The sequence below is a fragment of the Homo sapiens genome, chromosome 15 (genome assembly GCF_000001405.40).
Source record: "Homo sapiens chromosome 15, GRCh38.p14 Primary Assembly".
NCBI lineage: Eukaryota > Metazoa > Chordata > Mammalia > Primates > Hominidae > Homo > Homo sapiens.
Genome location: NC_000015.10, coordinates 50551083 through 50569536, shown reverse-complemented (window position 1 = coordinate 50569536; position 18454 = coordinate 50551083). Strand labels below are relative to the sequence as shown.

At 39.6% G+C, this 18454-nt stretch overlaps 1 protein-coding gene across 5 annotated transcripts in view, besides 1 other annotated feature; it reads left to right on the top strand.

Annotated features, from left to right (window-relative positions):
* TRPM7 (transient receptor potential cation channel subfamily M member 7) overlaps nucleotides 1–12379 on the top strand; it is a 129640-nt gene extending 117261 nt beyond the window's left edge. For all 5 annotated transcript variants that reach the window (NR_149154.2, NR_149152.2, NR_149153.2 and 2 more), the window contains one exon: nucleotides 7729–12379. Coding sequence is in view for 2 of the 5 variants with exons in the window: in NM_001301212.2 (NP_001288141.1) it covers nucleotides 7729–7859 (131 nt within the window). In the remaining 3 variants the exon portion in view is untranslated. The remainder of the gene's footprint in view (nucleotides 1–7728) is intronic.
* Nucleotides 17896–18410: an enhancer, noted in NCBI's record as "OCT4-NANOG hESC enhancer chr15:50843324-50843838 (GRCh37/hg19 assembly coordinates)". NCBI's record gives its function as "activates a minimal SCP1, AML or CMV promoter by ChIP-STARR-seq in naive and primed H9 embryonic stem cells {active_cell/tissue: H9 hESC(naive and primed)}" and the evidence as "EXISTENCE:reporter gene assay evidence [ECO:0000049][PMID:30033119]".

Genomic DNA, 18454 nt, shown 5'->3' with positions numbered 1-18454 from the left:
CAAGAGAGAGGAAAAAACAGAACAGAGTGCTATAGAACATGTAAGCAGGTCCCTTAACTCAAACCCAGGTCCGGGAATGATCCTGGGAAACTAACGTATTTGCCTTTACTTGGAGAATGAATAGACCTTCAAGTTAGCCTTGCAGAAGAATTGAGAAAAGGCTATTTGATCAAGCAGGAACAGGAACTGTAAATATATTGTCTCATGATATTAACATCATCTTTGTATGCAGAGAATTACAAGTTATTATTTAATTGTTAGTTAAAGCACAAACCTGTGGTTGTCTCTCTTTGATGTGCATCATAGTCCCCTGTGGAACTTTAAAAAAAAATTCCCCTACCAGGAGCAGTGACACATGCCTGTAGTCCCAGCTACTCAGGAGGCTGATACCAGAGGATCGCTTGAGCTCAGGAGTTCAAAGCTGTAGTGCCTACTTCAGTTTGGGCAACATAGTGAGACCCTGTCTCTTTTAAAAATTAAATTTAAAAAAAAAATTACACATGTCTGGGGCCCACCCTTGAGCTGTTTGTTTGTTTGTTTATTTGTTTGTTTTTGAGACAGGGTCTCACTCTGTTGCTCAGGCTGGAGTGCAGTGGTGCGATCTCAGCTCACTGCAGCTTCCACCTCCCAGGCTCAAGTGATCCTCCCACCTCAGCCTCCCAAGTAGCTGGGACTACAGGCACGTGCCACAACACCTGGCTAATTGTTGTTTTGGTTTTTTTTTTGTAGAGATGGGGTTTTGCCATGTCACCCAGGCTGCTCTCGAATTCCTGGGCTCAAGTGATCCACCTGCGTCAGCCTCCCAAAGTGCTAGGATTACAGGCGTGAGCCACCACGCCCAGCCCTTGTGTATTTTTGAAAGTCCCACTTCGTATGCCCAGTATTGTAATAGTTAAGAGCTTAGACTCAAGAGCCAGGATGCATGGCTCCAGAGAATACCTACATCACCAAGGAGTTTTTGAGGACTTAATGAGTTGGTTTTGTGAGATACTTAGTACCAGCCATATAATAAGCATTATTAGGTATGTAAATGGTACTAGTTTTTAAAATTTGTTTTTTATTATTGCTGGTATACAGAAATGCCATTGATTTTTTTGAGCATATGTCCCTGCAACCTTACTTAACTCTTTTTTAGGAGCTTTTTGTAATAGACTTCTCAGGATTTTTTTTGTATAGACAATAAAGACAGTTTCTTTCTGTGTATCTTTTTTTTTTTCTTGACTTTTTGCACTGGCAAGGATTTCCAGCACAGTATAGAATGAGTGTAGTGAGAGTAAACATAATTTGCTTTGTTTCTGATGTTAAGGGGAAGGCATTCTGTCTTTTCACCATTAAGATGATGTTAACTTTAAGGATTTTGTAGATGCACTTTATGAGGCTGAAGAAATTTCCTTCTACTCCTTGTTTTTTTTTTTTTTTTTTTTTGAGACAGAGTCTCGCTCTTTTTTTTTTTTTTTTGAGACGGAGTCTCGCTCTGTTGCCCAGGCTAGAGTGCAGTGGTGTGGTCTCCGCTCACTGCAAGCTCCACCTCCCGGGTTCACGCCATTCTCCGGCCTCAGCCTCCCGAGTAGCTGGGACTACAGGCGCCTGCCACCGCGCCCGGCTAATTTTTTTTTGTATTTTTAGTAGAGGTGGGGTTTCACCATGGTCTCGATCTCCTGACCTTGTGATCCGCCTGCCTCGGCCTCCCAAAGTGCTGGGATTACAGGCATGAGCCACCGTGCCCGGCCTACTCCTTGTTTCTTGAGAATATTTATCTTGAATGGATATTGAATTTTGTCAGATTTTTTTTTCTGCATCTTTTGGTATGATCATGTGGTTTTTCTCCTTTAATAGGTTAATATAGTGTATTACATCGATTGATTTTTTTAATGTTGAGCCAGTATTGCATTCCTAGGACAAACCACACTTTGTTGTGATACATATCTTTTTTATTTATTGTTAGATTCAGTTTTCAATAATAGGTTGAGGATTTTGCATCTGTGTTCATGAAGAATATTGGTCTGTGGTAGGTTTGTTTTATGGGGCACTATGTTTGTTTTCTTTTAGTATTAGGATAATACTTATAAAATAAGTTTTATTTTCGGGAATAGATTGTATAGAATTGATATTGTCCCTACCATGAATGTTTGATAGGATTTTCCAGTCAAACCATCTTGGCCTGAAGTTTTCTTTGTCACATGGTTTTAAACTAAGCATTTAGTGGGGAGGGGACAGGGGTAGCATTGGGAGATATACCTAATGCTAAATGACGAGTTGATGGGTGCAGCACACCAACATGGCACATGTATACATGTGTAACAAACCTGCACATTGTGCACATGTACCCTAAAACTTAAAGTATAATAATAAAAAATAATTTTAAAAATAAAAAATAAAAAAATAAACTAAGCATTTAATTTCTTTAATAGAGATAGGACTGTTGATTATCAAATTGTTTTTGAGTGAGTTTTGGTAGTTTGTGTCTTTTAAGGAATTGGTCCATTTTTTTTTTTAATTGTCAAATTTGGGGGCATAAAGTTATTTATGCTGTTACCTTACTATCTTTTTAATATCCGTTAGGTCTGTGGCAAATCCCCTTTTTCCTTATGGCAGTTTGGTCTGTGCTCTTTGTTTCTTGATCAGCCTGGCTAGAGGTTTATCAATTTTATTGATACCTTCAAAGAATCAGTTTTCGTTGTCATTGTTTTACTCTTGCTTTTCTGTTTTCAATTTATTTGATTTATTCTTTTTATTTTTCCATGTTTATACTCGCTTTAGGTGTAGTTTGTTCTTTTTCTAGTTTATTAAAGTAGAAACTTAGATTATTGATTCTCGGATCTTTATTTTATTTATTTATTTTGAGATGGAGTCTCACTCTGTCACCAGGCTGGAGTGCAGTGGCGTAATCTCTGCTCACTGCACCCTCCACCTCCCAGGTTCAAACGATTCTCCTGCTTCAGCCTCTTGAGTAACTGGCACTACAGGTACGTGCCACCACACCCAGCTAATTTTGTTACTTTTAGTAGAGTCAGGGTTTCACCATGTTGGCCAGGATTGTCTTGATCTCTTGACCTCGTGATCTACCCGACTCGGCCTCCCAAAGTGCTGGGATTACAGGTGTAAGCCACTGCGCCCGGCCTCAGATGTTTATTTCTAACAAGAGATTGAGTGCTATAATTTTCCCTCTAAGCATTGTTTTAGCTCCATCCCTCAAATTTGAGTATATTTTATTTTCATTTTTATTTACTTTAAAATAATTATAATTTCAGTTGTTATTCCTCTTTGATGTATGGATTGTCTTGTTTAGTTCTTAAATAGTTTAAAATTTTACAAATGTCTTTAATTGATTTCTTGCTTAATTCTATTATAAAAGAAACATACTTTGTACTATTTCAATTAAATTTTTTTTAATTGAAGTACAAGTTTATGGAGCTGGGTTCAGTGGCTCACACCTGTAATCCCAGCACTTTGGGAGGCCGAGGCAGGTGGATCACCTGAAGTCAGGAGGTCGATACCAACCTGGCCAACATAGTGAAACCCCATCTCTACTAAAAAATACAAAAATTAGCTGGGTGTGGCAGTGGGTGCCTGTAATCCCAGCTACTCAGTAAGCCAAGGCAGGAGAATCACTGGGACCTGGGAGGCAGAGGTTGCAATGAGCCAAGATTGCGCCACTGCACTCTGGCCTGGGCGACAGAGCAAGACTCCGTCTCAAAAAAAAAAAAACAAAAAGAGTTTATGGTCTCTGAGCATTCCATGTGCTTTGGAAAGTAATGTATATTCTGCTATTGTTGGATGGAGTATTCTGTAAATATTAATTAAAGTTTGTTGCTAGTGTTCGGAGTTCTTGTATCCTTGCTGGTTTTCTGTGTATTAGTTCTATTGATTAACTAGAAAGGAAGTCTCCAAATATAATTGGATTTGTCTGTCTTGCTTTTCAGTTCTGTCAGTTTTTCCTTCATGTGTTTTGAGGCGTTGTTCTTAGATGCATACACATATACTATTGTTAATGTCTTCTTGGCGAATTGATTATTTTATCATTGTGTATTAATAATATCATGGTAATTTTCCTTATTTTGACGTATACTTTTTCTAATATTAACATAACCACTCCAGCTATCTTTTGATTAATGTTTTCATCATATACCTTTTGCCAGTCTTTTTTTCAAAACATACACACACACATCTATATATAATTATATTTAAGGTGGGTTTCTTGTAGACAGCATATACTGAGGTTCTTGATTTTGTTTTAAATTTAAACAGTTTCCATTTTTTAAGCCAGCACGGTACCCCTGTAATCCCAGCACTTTGGGAGGCTAAGGAGGGCAGATCATTTGAGGTCAGGAGTTCGAGACCAGCCTGGCCAACATGGTGAAAACCTATCTCTACTAAAAATACAAAAATTAGCTGGGCGTGGTGGTGGGTGCCTGTAATCCCAGCTACTTGGGAGGCTGAGGCAGGCGAATTGCTTGAACCCGAGAGGCACAGGTTGCAGTGAGGAGAGATTGCACCACTGTGAGACAGAGTGAGACTCCATCTCAAAAAAAAAAAGCAATCTGGCCCAGATCCTTCATTTTCTAGATAATATAATTAAAGTTGAGATGATTTGCTCATTGATACACTTACTAGTTAACAATATAATTAAGGTGAGCTATAATTGTGTTTCTCTCCACTGTTCTTTGTACAGTAATCGCAGATTAGCTTATATCCCTAAAGCCATACTGACATAGTCTTGAATTTAAAATTTATCAAAAATAATTAATATAGTTGCAAATATGTTTGGATTGTTTAATATAGGCTGTTTCTTAGATTAAAATTAACAGTTTATGATTCAGTGAGGTCAAATATTTTTATTTTTTAAAAAATAAATTAGTTCATATTCTGAGTATCAGTTATATTTTATATGGAGATAAAAATATAAGGGTTTACGCCATGACACACATATACCTATATAACAAACCTGCATGTTCTGCACGTGTATCCTTTTTTTTAAAAAAATAAAAACATACATATATATATGTTAATGCATGACTTGGTTAGTTTATAATGTTGATATTACTGCATTGTTTCCAGTTCTGCAACTATTTTCATCTATGTCTGTAACTTCTTAAGTGATTTCTTCTTGTCCCATACCTATAAATATGTTTATGTACTTATCATAGCAAATCTGTCTGAAGACTTGACATATTTCCCAAGCTCCTGTTTCTGTTCAGCTACCTATATTTCTACTTGGATACTATTTTATTTTATTTTATTTTATTTTATTTTATTTTATTTTATTTTATTTTATTTTATTTTATTTTTTGAGACAGTCTCACTCTGTCACCCAGGCTGAAGCAGAGGGGTCCATCCTTTTGGCTTCCCTGGGCCACATTGGAAGAAAAATTGTTGGGCAGGCACCATGGCTCATGCCTGTAATCTCAGCACTTTGGGAGGCCGAAGTGGGCAGATCACTTGAGGCCAGGAGTTCAAGAGCAGCTTTGCCAATTATGGCAAAAACCAGTCTCTACTAAAAATATAAAAATTGGCCATGTGTGGTGTCACAGGCCTGTAATCCCAGCTACTTGGGGAGGCTGAGTCACAAGAATCGCTTGAACCACAGAGGTAGGGGTTTCAGTGAGCCGAGATCGTGCCACTGCACTTCAGCCTGGGCAACAACAAGACCTTGTCTCAAAAAAAAAAGAAGAATTGTCTTGGGCTACACATAAAATACACTGTCACTACCATAGCTGATGAGCTTAAAAAAATGCAAAAAAATGCCATCATGTTTTAAGAAAGTTTATGAATTTGTGTTGGGTTGCATGTGGCCTGTGGGCCGAGGGTCGGGCAGGCTTGCTATAAAGCATCTTTAGTAACGTGTCCAATCCAAAATTCTTGATTTATATCTCCCACCCTACATAGAACTCTGTTTCCCTATCTTATTAATGGTTACCCAGTTGCTCAAGTCCAAAACCTAAAACTATCCAATTCTTCTTTTCCCTTGCCCTTCATAGCCAATTCATCAAATTCTGTCTGTTCTAATTTTGAAATCTCCCTAGAATTCATCTGCTCTTCTCTGTCTTCATGGCTACCACCTTGTTTCCTGGACTGCTGCCACCCATCCTCTCACAAGAGTTTTCATAGTCATCAGAATAGTTCTTGAAACAAATCTGATGATGTTCCTCTCTTGAGACTGCTTAAAACCTTCCAGTGGATTTGTATTGTATCTGTACTTCTCATCATAGCTTGTATCTATGATGTATAAATGAAGATCAGCAAACTTCTGTAAAGGGCAAGGTAGCAAATATTTTAGGCTTTGTAGACCATGTGGTCTGTCCCAGCTACACAGTTCTACCGTCGTGGTGTGGAAATAACCACAGACTGTGAACAAATGAGTGTGACTGCATTCCAGTAAAACTACTTACAAAAACAGGCAACAGACCAGATTTGGCCCACAATCTGTAGTTGACAATCTTGGGCCATTAACTGCTGCTTGAGCTCAATTTCTACTAGTTTTCCTCTCATTCACTATGTAGAAGCCACACTGTCTTCTTACCATTCGCAAAGCACACTAAGTCCATTCCTTCTGACAGTCTTTGCAGTTAACCCTCCCTCTGCCTAGAACACTCCTCCTAGAGCTTTGATAGTTCACTTCTCAATATTAAGGTATTTACTCAAATCTCTTCCTCTGGCTTTCCTGCCCAGACCTGTTTGAAACAATCACCCTATACCATCTTCCATCTGTCCCTCATTATAATTCACTACACTCTTCTCTTCAAAGCACTTTTTTTTTTTTTTTTGAGACAGGATCTCACTCTGTCGCCCAGGTTGAAGTACAGTGGCATGATCTTGGGTCATTGCAATCTCTGCCTACTGGGGCTCAAACAGTCCTCCCACCTCGGCCTTCTGAGTAGCTGGGACTACAGGCGCACATCACCACACCTGGCTAATTTTTGTATTTTTTGTAGAGACAAGAGACTTCACCATGTTGGCCAGGCTGCTCTTGAACTCCTGACCTCAAATGATTCTCTCACCTTGGCCTTTCAAAGTGCTGAGATTACAGGCATGAGCCACTGCACCCTGCCTTCAAGGCACTTTTTACTGCTTATAATTCTGTCATTTTTCTGTTTGCTTATTTTTTGTCACCCACTAGAATATAAGCTCACTGAGACCAGTGAGCTTGTCTGGTTTGTTCACTGCTACATTCCCACGCCTACATGAGTTTCTGACTCATGGTCAATATGTAATTATTTGTTGAATGAATGAATGACTTCATTTTTATGTGTATAAATTTGGTGACTACTGAATTTATAACAACCTGATGGAAAACAAGTCTGACATGTTTGGAGAAAAATTGATTAGAAATGATCCTAATTCAGCCGGGCATGGTGGCTCACACCTATAATCCCAGCACTTTGGGAGGCCGAGGCAGGTGGATCACCTGAGGACGGGAGTTCAAGACCAGCCTGACCAACATGGTGAAACCCTGTCTCTACTAAAAATACAAAAAATTAGCCGGGCATGGTGGTGCATGCCTGTAATCCCAGCTATTTGGGAGGCTGAGGTAGGAGAATCGCTTGAACCCGGGAGGTGGAGGTTGCAGTGAACCGAGATCGCGCCATTGCACTCCAGCTTGGGCAACAAGAGCGAAACTCCGTCTTGAAAAGAAAATAAAAGGTTCCTAATTCTCCATTTCTAAGAAATACTAACTTTTTTCTTTTCTCTTTCTTTTTTTTTTTTAATTGTTGTGGGTGTTCAATGTAGATCTGAAGAGGAATGATTATACGCCTGATAAAATTATATTTCCTCAGGATGAGCCTTCAGATTTGAATCTTCAGCCTGGAAATTCCACCAAAGAATCAGAATCAACTAATTCTGTTCGTCTGATGTTATAATATTAATATTACTGAATCATTGGTTTTGCCTGCACCTCACAGAAATGTTACTGTGTCACTTTTCCCTCGGGAGGAAATTGTTTGGTAATATAGAAAGGTGTATGCAAGTTGAATTTGCTGACTCCAGCACAGTTAAAAGGTCAATATTCTTTTGACCTGATTAATCAGTCAGAAAGTCCCTATAGGATAGAGCTGGCAGCTGAGAAATTTTAAAGGTAATTGATAATTAGTATTTATAACTTTTTAAAGGGCTCTTTGTATAGCAGAGGATCTCATTTGACTTTGTTTTGATGAGGGTGATGCTCTCTCTTATGTGGTACAATACCATTAACCAAAGGTAGGTGTCCATGCAGATTTTATTGGCAGCTGTTTTATTGCCATTCAACTAGGGAAATGAAGAAATCACGCAGCCTTTTGGTTAAATGGCAGTCAAAATTTTCCTCAGTGTATTTAGTGTGTTCAGTGATGATATCACTGGTTCCCAACTAGATGCTTGTTGGCCACGGGAAGGGAAATGACTTGTTCTAATTCTAGGTTCACAGAGGTATGAGAAGCCTGAACTGAAGACCATTTTCAAGAGGGACGGTATTTATGAATCAGGGTTAGGCTCCATATTTAAAGATAGAGCCAGTTTTTTTTTTTAAATAGAACCCAAATTGTGTAAAAATGTTAATTGGGTTTTTTAAACATTGTTTTATCAAGTCACTGTTAAGTAGAAGAAAGCCATGGTAAACTGATACATAACCTAAATTATAAAAGCAGAAACCTAACTCACTCGTCAAGGGAAGTTACCTTTTGAGGAAAGTTAAAGTACTTTTTTCCCTATCTGTATCTATAGCAACAACCCAGAACTTACAAACTTCTCCAAAGATTTTATTGATTGTTATATCAAATCAGAATGTAAACATGAACTCTTGCATATATTTAAAATTGTGTTGGAACATTTGAACATGAATGCTGTTTGTGGTACTTAAGAAATTAATTCAGTTGGATTATCATTATGTGATACTGGCAGATTGCAGTGCAACCTTATGCCAATAAAATGTAATTTAACAGCCCCAGATATTGTTGAATATTCAACAATAACAAGAAAAGCTTTTCATCTAAGTTTTATGCTTTAATTTTTTTTCTTTTTTTTTCTTTTTCTTTTGTTTCCTTGGTACTAATTTTAATTTTTATTTGGAAGGGAGCAGTATAAAGCTTATTTGTATTTAGTAGTGTATCTCATAGATACAGACAAGGCAAGAGATGATAAGCTGTTTAAATAGTGTTTAATATTGATTGGGGGTGGGGAGAAAGAAAAAGTGTATTACTTAAAGATACTATATACGTTTTGTATATCATTAAATCTTTAAAAGAAATGAAATAAATTTATTGTTTACAGATGTTTAGTGAGTTTAATCATTCTGAAAAATTATCTGACATTTTCAGGGTGTCAATTTGAGTATCAGTTTTTTTAAATGAACCATTTGTATACCTGTGCTTTTGATCTCCTGTCCTGTACAATGTTTAAATTAATACTGATTTCTTACTGTCTTCTTAGAAATCTGTTTTTTGTTAGGCCAAAAAAGGGCAATATGGGCTGTCTGTTGATTTTTAATTTTATATTGATTATTTTCACAGGATTATAATAGTAGCTATACTTTTTTTTTTTTTTTTTTTTTTGAGACGGAGTCTCGCTCTGTTGCTTGGGCTGGAGTGCAGTGGTGCGATCTCAGCTCACCACAACCGCCGCCTTCCGGGTTTAAGTGATTCTCCTGCCTCAGCCTCCCGAGTAGCTGGGACTACAGGCACACGCCACCATGCCCAGCTAATTTTTATATTTTTAGTAGAGACAGGGTTTCACTATGTTGGCCAGTGTGGTCACAAACTCCTGACCTTGTGAGCCACCGCACCTGGCTGCTAACACTTATTTAGTGCCTACTGTGTACCAGACATTACTCTAAGTATTTCACATATATTAACCTACTTAATCCTTATAACAATGTTATAAAGAAATAGGTGTTATTATCCTGTTTTGCAGATTTGAAAGTCAAGGTGCTAGAGAGGTAAAGTAACGTCCATAAGATTCTTACGTTTATTTAATAATAAGTAGCAACGGTAGGATTTGAACCCAGGCTGGCTGCCTTTCATCTATACTGTTTTTGTTTTGTTTTGTTTTGTTTTGTTTTGTTTTGTTTGTCTTGGTGGGGCATGGTGGCTCATGCCTGTAATCCCAGCACTTCGGGAGGCCAAGGCAGGTGGATCACTTGGGCTCAGGAGTTTGAGACCAGCCTGGGCAACATGGCAAAATCCTATCTCTGCTAAAAAAAAAAATACAAAAATTAGGCCAGGTGCAGTGGCTCATGCCTGTAATCCCAGCACTTTGGGAGGCCAAGGTGGGCGGATCACAAGGTCAGGAGTTCGAGACCAGCCTGACCAACATAGTGAAACCCCGTCTCTACTAAAAATACAAAAAATTAGCTGGGCATGGCGGTGAGTGCCTGTAATCCCAGCTACTCAGGAGTCTGAGGCAGGAGAATTGCTTGAACCTGGGAGGTGGAGGTTGCAGTGAGCTGAGATCGTGCCATTGCGCTCCAGCCTGGGCAACAGTGCGAGACTCCGTCAAAAAAAAAAAAATAACTGGATGTGATGGTGTGCACCTGTAGTTCCAGCTACTTGGGAGACTGAGGTGGGAGGATCACTTGAGCCTGGGAGACTGAGGCAGCAGTGAGCTGAGATCATGCCACTGCTTTCCAACCTGGGCAACAGAGTGAGATCCTGTCTCAGAAAGAAAAAAAAAAAAAAGACAACCTCTTGCTCTGTTGCCCAGGCTGGAGTGTAGTAGCGTGATCATAGCTCACTGCAGCCGTAAACTCCTGGGCTCAAGCAATCCTCCTGCCACTGCCTCTTGATTAGGTGGAACCACAGGCATGCACCACCACACGTACCTAATTTTATATATATATTTTTTTATTTTTCATTTTTATTTATTTTTGTTTTTTTGAGTTGAAGTCTCACTCTGTTGCCCAGGCCGGAGTACAGTGGCACAATCTTGGCTCACTGCAACCTCTGCCTCCCAAGATCAAGCAATTCTCGTGCTTCAGCCTCCAAAGTAGCTGAGATTACAGGTACCCACCATAATGCCTGGCTGATTTTTGTATTTTTCGTAGAGACAAGGTTTCACCTTGTTGGCCAGGCTGATCTCAAACTCCTGACCTCAAGTGATCCACCTCCCCCGGCTACCCAAAGTACTGGGATTATAGGTGTGAGCCACCATGCCTGGGTAACACCCAACTAATTTTAAATATATATTTTGTAGAGATGGGGTCTAGCCTTGTTGCCCACGCTGGTCTCAAATTCCTGGGCTCAAGTGATCCTCTCGCCTGAGCTTCCCAAAGTGGTAGAATTGCAGGCATGAATTGCTGCACCCAGCCTCATCTGTGCTGTGAATTATGTGCTGTATTGACTCTCAAGCATGATGACCATTGGTGGTTTCTGTACCATTTCCTGTTACTTTACTGAAACACACCTACTCCATTAACTTCTTGGGTTAAGTCTAGAAAGTAACAGTTTACTTGTAAACCACATTTCTTATCCCCAATAAGTATTTTTTTAAGATTATTAAAGTTCATTATTACTACCCTATGATGTGAAAGTGTCATTTGCTTAATCTTTTTAATTTTTTATTCTCAACCTCATCTTACTGAAGAGAATAAAACTCTTTTACCATATTCTTAAAATGTGGAATTCTCGGCCAGGTGCAGTGGCTCACGCCTGTAATTCCATCACTTTGGGAGGCCAAGGTGGGTGGATCATCTGAGGTCAGGAGTTCAAGACCAGCCTGGCCAACATGGTGAAACCCCGTCTCTACTAAAAATACAAAAATTATCTGGGTGTGGTGGCGCGTGCCTGTAGGCCCAGCTACTCAGGAGGCTGAGGCAGGAGAATTGCTTGAACCCAAGAGGTGGAGGTTGCAGTGAGCCTAGATTGCTGCCACTGCACTCCAGCCTGGGTGACAGCAGAACTCTGTCTCAAAAAAAAGATGTGGAATTCTTTTCTGCAAATGTTCTCTAATAGTATACCTTCTTCAGTCTGTCGATATATGTATGCTATTATTTTACAAGTAATACATGTTGATTGTATTGGAAATTATAGAAAAGATTATATTGGATTGTTTAGAAAATATTTTTAAATGTGAAGAAAAATATAAAAATTACTCCCTTGTTCCACTTTCCCCACTCTCAAGTCAGACTATGTTGTTTTCATAGTTAGTAGCTAGCAGTCTACCCCACTAGATTATATGCTTCACAGAGGGAAGGGACCCTCAAGACTTCACTGGATTGAGTAGCACCCAATACCTTGCTTGCTGCCTGGTTTGTGATGGGCATACTGTAAGAAAAAAAAATCTGAATGACAAAATGTTTTTCCATAATACCAGACTTCCTCTTGAAGAGATGGGTCGTAATGTTGTAGTCTTACATGCTTACGTAGACAATCAAAGCAAGAATACTCAATAAATGGCTATTTACCACTTGAAAGAAAGATCAAGTAATTATTTACAGAAAATGATGTGTCTACACAACAGGGATTTTTGAATTTCTCCTTATTTACCATATCTGATCTTATTGCTTCCTAGCTGGGTTTCAACAAGGCATCTGTATTTAAAGGTCCCAAATGATCTGTGAGCTTTTTCTTAGGAAAATTCCAGGCTAAGGCTCTGGTCCTCTCTAGAATATGATTTTCTAACTTCTTTGGAAACTCCTTAAAGCAGATTTCCATTCCTGGGGCCCATGATTCCACATTGGTGGGCATGAAGATGGGAGAGGATGTGGTTATTCTTCAGAAAAGCCACACACTTCAGGCTAACAGTAAATAGCACCAGTGAACAGAGCACTTTCTTCTTGTGCTGTCCAAACCAACATTAGGCTCTCTCCTTGTATTTCCCTTGGAATTTCTGTGTAATCCTGCATTACAGAATTTTTCTTTCATTTTAATTATGTCAGTATATGTTTCTTAAAGATTAAGAACTATAACATTATTACACCTGAAAGTTTAACCAAAAATATTGTCAAATATGTAATCATTGCTCTAAAAAAAATTTGTTTTAAGTAATTTAATTAGGACACAGAAGGTCCATACATTGCAGTTCCTTGCTAGTTTTGTTTTGTTTTTATTGGAGGCAGAGTCTTGCTCTGTTGCCCAGGCTGAAGTACAGTGGAGTGATAACCTTCGCTTCCAGGTTCAAATGATTCTCCTGCCTCAGCCTCCGAAGTAGCTGGGTCTACAGGCACATGCTGCCACACCAGGCTAATTTTTGTATTTTTAGTAGGGACGGTGTTTCACCATGTTGGCCAGGCTGGTCTCGAACTCCTGACCTCAAGTGATCCACCTGCTTCCGCCTTCACCTCCCAAAGTGCTGGGATTATAGGCGTGAGCCATTGAACCCAGCCAACAATTGCTTGTTTTTAAAGTCTCTTAGTATGTAGGTTCTCTGTCTCATCTTTGCCCCCTGCTTATGTTTTAAAGAACCAACTTACTTGTCCTGAAAAGTTTACTACATTTGAGATTTTGCTGATTGTTTCCTGCATATGTCATAAACTAGTGGTTAGTTAGGTCTAAAGGCTTGATCAGATTCAGTATTGAATTTTTGGTAAGAATGCTTCATTGGTGGGGGTATATAATTCTGTTAGGAAACACATGCCTGGTTGTCTTTTTGATAGTCATTGCCTAGGTCTATTATTAATTAGGTCAGTGGTGCTCATGGTGGGTCACAGACCCCTGAGAGTCTCCCCAGGACAATTTCAAGGTGTACATAACATAAGGTCAAAACTTATAATACTAAGATATTATTCGCCTTTTTCGCTGTATTGAGAGTTTTATTGATGGAGTAAAAGCAGTGATGGGTAAAACTGCCAGAACCTTACCATGAATCAAGTGAAAATTGGAATTTTGGAAAACTTGACTTTAACACCAGTAGCACTACAGCTTCCTAATACTTTCCTAATGAAATCAGTAGTGTTGATATTAAAACTTGTTTTTTGGTTTTTGGTTTTTTTTGAGACGGAGTTTTGCTCTTGTTGCCCAGGCTGGAGTGCAGTGGCGTGATCTCCACTCACTGCAAACCCCGCCTCCCAGGTTCAAGTGATTCTCCTGCCTCAGCCTCCCAAGTAGCTAGGAGTACAGGCATGAGCCACCACGCCCGGCTAATTTTTGTGCTTTTAGTAGAGACGGGGTTTCACCATGTTGGCCAGGCTGGTCATGAACTCCTGACCTCAGGTGATCCACCCGCCTCGGCCTCCCAAAGCGCTGGGATTACAGGCATGAGCCACCGCACCAGGCCAAAAATGATTTTATTTAGATAGTGTATAATGAGATGTGTCAGTGTTTCGAAGATCTGCATAACTAAACCAGTATTTTCGGAATGACCAATGCATAGTATTACAAAATAATGCATGAGTGAAAGATCTAACATAGTAGAAAAGGTTTGTTTACGAGGTTTCAGAGTCTACATTACAGTTAACCTTTAGGAAACTACTTCTCATCCAATTTTCGTGTCCTCATCCTCAAGAATATCCGCAGTTATCTAAAAGGCTATTAAAATACTCCTTCCCGTAAAGAACTACAATAATCAAGACAGTGTATGATACCATGATAGACATATCAATCAATAAAATTGAAATAAGAGGCCAGGCGCAGTGGCTCGTGCCTGTAATCCCAGCACTTTGGGAGGCAGAGGTGGGTGGATCTGAGACCAGCCTGGACAACATGGCGAAACCCCATCTCTAATAAAAACACAAAAATTAGCTGGGCGTGATGGCTCATGCCTGTAGTCCCAGCTACTTGGGAGGCTGAGGCAGGAGAATTGCAGACTCCATCTCAAAAAAAAAAAAAAAAAAAAGACAACCTAATTTTAAAATGGCCTGAGGATCTGAATAGATATTTCTCCATATATACATTGGATATTTATATATCCATCCAGTGGAATATTGTTTAACAGTTAAAAAAGAATGAAGTACTGATATTAAGGGTCTTTCAATTCTGTAGCTACTACATTATAATACACTGCAATGCAAAATGGATCTAAATAGACTTGGACTGTCATTCTTACCCTGCCACTTATTCCATGAGTGACTGGCTTACTGAGCAACCATTTCTGACAATACTTCATGGTGGTCTTGTGAAAGCAGAATGAGTTAAATATTGGGCACGTGGAGGTCTCAAGTATTGGGTCCCTCCTTGCTACCTTTTTAATTCAGGAATTCCAATGAAGACAGAAGGACATGATGGGAAATAGAAAACGTTCTGAGAGTGATTTTTTTTTTCTATGAAGGAATTTATCTTGTAGCTTCTTCCATTAGTACTCAAAGTATGACCACACGCTTAAGATCTTTGTAGATGTGTGTATTGTGCATCAGAGTGTGTAAGTCTAACCCATCTCAACATTTGAAGGCACTTTTAGGTTACTCTTTAAGAGTGAGACTAGGGGAAAAGGCTGAAGGTTGGGGCAGGATGGTACAAGGTATTAATAAAAAGTGGCCACAAGCACCAAATGTAAAACTAAAGTAATCATACAAGTGTTCAACTACATACAAATGCATATGTAAGAAGACTAATGAGGCCAGGCGTGTTGGCTCATGCCTGTAACCCCACCATTTAGGGGGACTGAGGCTGGAGGATCGCTTGAGACCAGGAGTTCCAGATCAGCCTGGGCAACATATTGAGACCTCATCTCAACAAAAAAGTTAAAAAAAAAAAAAAATTCAAAATGATGGAAAACGTGGGAAGAGTTGGAAGTACAGAGAATAATCCAAGTTGTCAATAAGTTGTCAGTAGTTTGTAAGCTATATGAGAGTGAATACTAGTATTTTTTTCAGTATTATACCCCTAGCATGATGACTGGCACAAAGTAAATACACGTTTTCTGGATTAATAAATGAGATACCATAGCTTTTTGTGTTTTGGGGGTTTTTGTTTTGTTTTGAGACAGGGTCTCACTCTCGCCCAGGCTGGAGTGCCGTGGTGTGATCTTGGCTCACTGCAATCTCCGCTTCCCAGGCTCAAGCTTGAGCCTCCCAAATAGCTGGGACCACAGGCGCGCACCACCACACCCAGCTGATATTTTTCTATTTTTCTGTAGTGATGGGGTTTCATTTTGTTGCCCAGGCTGGTCTCAAACTCCTGGGCTCAAGCAATATACCCACCTTGGCCTCCCAAAGTGTTGAGATTGCAGGTGTGAGCCACCATGACCGGCCACAATAACTGTTTAATAAAGGTTCTAGAATAAAAACGCTAGAAGGAAGGAAATAACCCACTAAATGCCACGTTTTGTGATTCTGCAAGTAAAGAAAGAAAAAGTTTACAGGGAACAGATTGACATCAAAATTCTCACATGGTAGGCCAGGCGTGGTGGCTCACACCTGTAATTCCAGTACTTTGGGAGGCTGAGGTGGGAGGTTCGCTTAAGCCCAGGAGTTCGAGACCAGCCTGGGCAACATAGTGACACCTTGTCTCTACCAAAAAAAAAATTAGCGAGGCGTGGTGGCACACACCTGTAGTCCCAGCTGCTCTGGAGGCTGAGGTAGGAGGATTGCTTGAGCCTGGGAGGCAGAGTTTGCAGTAAGCCGTGTTTGTGCCGCTGCACTCCACCCTGGGTGACGGAGTGAGACCCTGTCTCAAAAAAAAAAAAAAAAAAAAAAAAAATTCTTATCTCCTGTATCTAAGAGGCAGCAAAACAATGTTGTTAGGGGAAAGAGGGAGAAAGTTGAATCCAGTCAGGTGATGGCGCTCGCAGAAAGTCTACTTCCCATGCTTTTTCTTGGAAAATGTTAAGGATATCTTCAAAGAAAAAGAATCTAAGAAGACACAACGTAAAAAGAGGCACAGAAGTAAACAATGGTGTATGAAATACACAAATTTAAATGCTTACTGACAAATTTTTTTTGTTTTATTTATTTTACTTTTATTTAATTTATTTATTTTTGTTTGTTTGTTATTTTAGAGATGAGGTCTCACTGTGTTACCCAGGCTGGTCTTGAACTGACTTCAAGCAATCCTCAGTGCCTCAGCCTCACAAAGTGCTGGGATTACCAGTGCTAGCCACTGCATCTGGTCACAAATGTTTTTTGAAAAATGTAAACTAGAATGAGATTTTTTAAAATATTGAAAGTGATTCAGGGGAAGATAGTAAAAGCACATTAAAGGTTTCGTTTCTATTTGGGAAAAATTATGGTTATTTTTGACATTGAAAGGTAATTCTAAATACGGGTAACCCTTGCTATCTTCACTTTCACTATGTGAGCTCAGGAACTACATAGATTAACGTACATTTTCACACAGACTCGTGGCATCCAGAGTTTAGAAACCAAATAGGTTGGGATAAAACAGTATTCTTTGCTATTCAAACCTTAGACCCAAATAGATTAAGGTAACAGGTTACTTTTATTTTTTTTTTAATATTTAAAGGAAATAAATAGAATATAGAAACAATACACTTCTTGGCCATTAGAAGGAAATAAAAAAGTTGGAGGGGAAGGAGAGGATTTTTACAAAGTAATCCACTAGGGCCAGGAGTGGTGGCTTACGCCTATAATCCCAGCTACTTGGGAGGCTGAGGCAGTAGGATAATTTGAGCCTGGGAGTTCAGGATGTGCCTAACAACATGGCAAGATGCTGTCTCAAAAACACACACACACTAACAGGAAGACCAGGCCCCAGGTCCCTTTCATCCTCATTCATTCATAATTTAGTCTAAAATCCATTAGGTTTCAGACCAATCATAGGTGTTCATGTTGGGAGGCAACAGTGACCTGGTGGGGGGTGTCAGCAAAGCAGGGTGAGGATAGTGCTTGTGTGTTGTGTAAAGAGGGGAGTGGGGTTGATGTCAGCAGCGACAGGAGATTAGTTATATGCAGAGGGGTTGATCAAATAAGGAAATACATTGAGGACAATGGGAAGTGCCTCTCTGTTGGAGATGGGGTTGTAAATATGTAAAAGGGAGGAAACTAGAATAAATCCTGAAATGTAGGTTTGGAATTGGAATTACTGGCATGAATTCATGGTTCCCAAAATATCAAGATGTATTCAGTATGGTAGTAATACTGAAAAAAAAATGTAGAGAGATATACCTATGGATGTGGATGTATGTATGCATAGAGGACCTGGAAGCAGCAACGCTGTAATAACATGAGTATACCCAGCTCCCAGATCTTGGTTTCTAAATACCATTCTTCACTAAAAGGAACCAGGGCTCGGAGAAACACCTGACTTCAGGATTGGGGCAGGAATGGTACTCTAGAAGATCTTGCTGTGCCAAACAAAGGAAGTGCTCAAAGAACAATAAGGACATGTCAAATGGATACAGAAGACATCTTGAAGGGCTTCCTGCAGGCTAATCTTGAGACCATTTGAACATCTAAAATAAATCATGGCCAGGTGCGGTGGCTCACACCTATAATCCCAGCACTTTAAGAGGGCAAAGTGGTTGAGCTTGAGACCAAGAGCTCAAGACCAGCCGGGGCAACATAGTGAAACCCCCGTCTCTACAACAAAATTTAAAAATAGCTGGGCTTCGTGGCATGTGATGTAGTCCCAACTACTCAGGAGGCTGAGGCAGA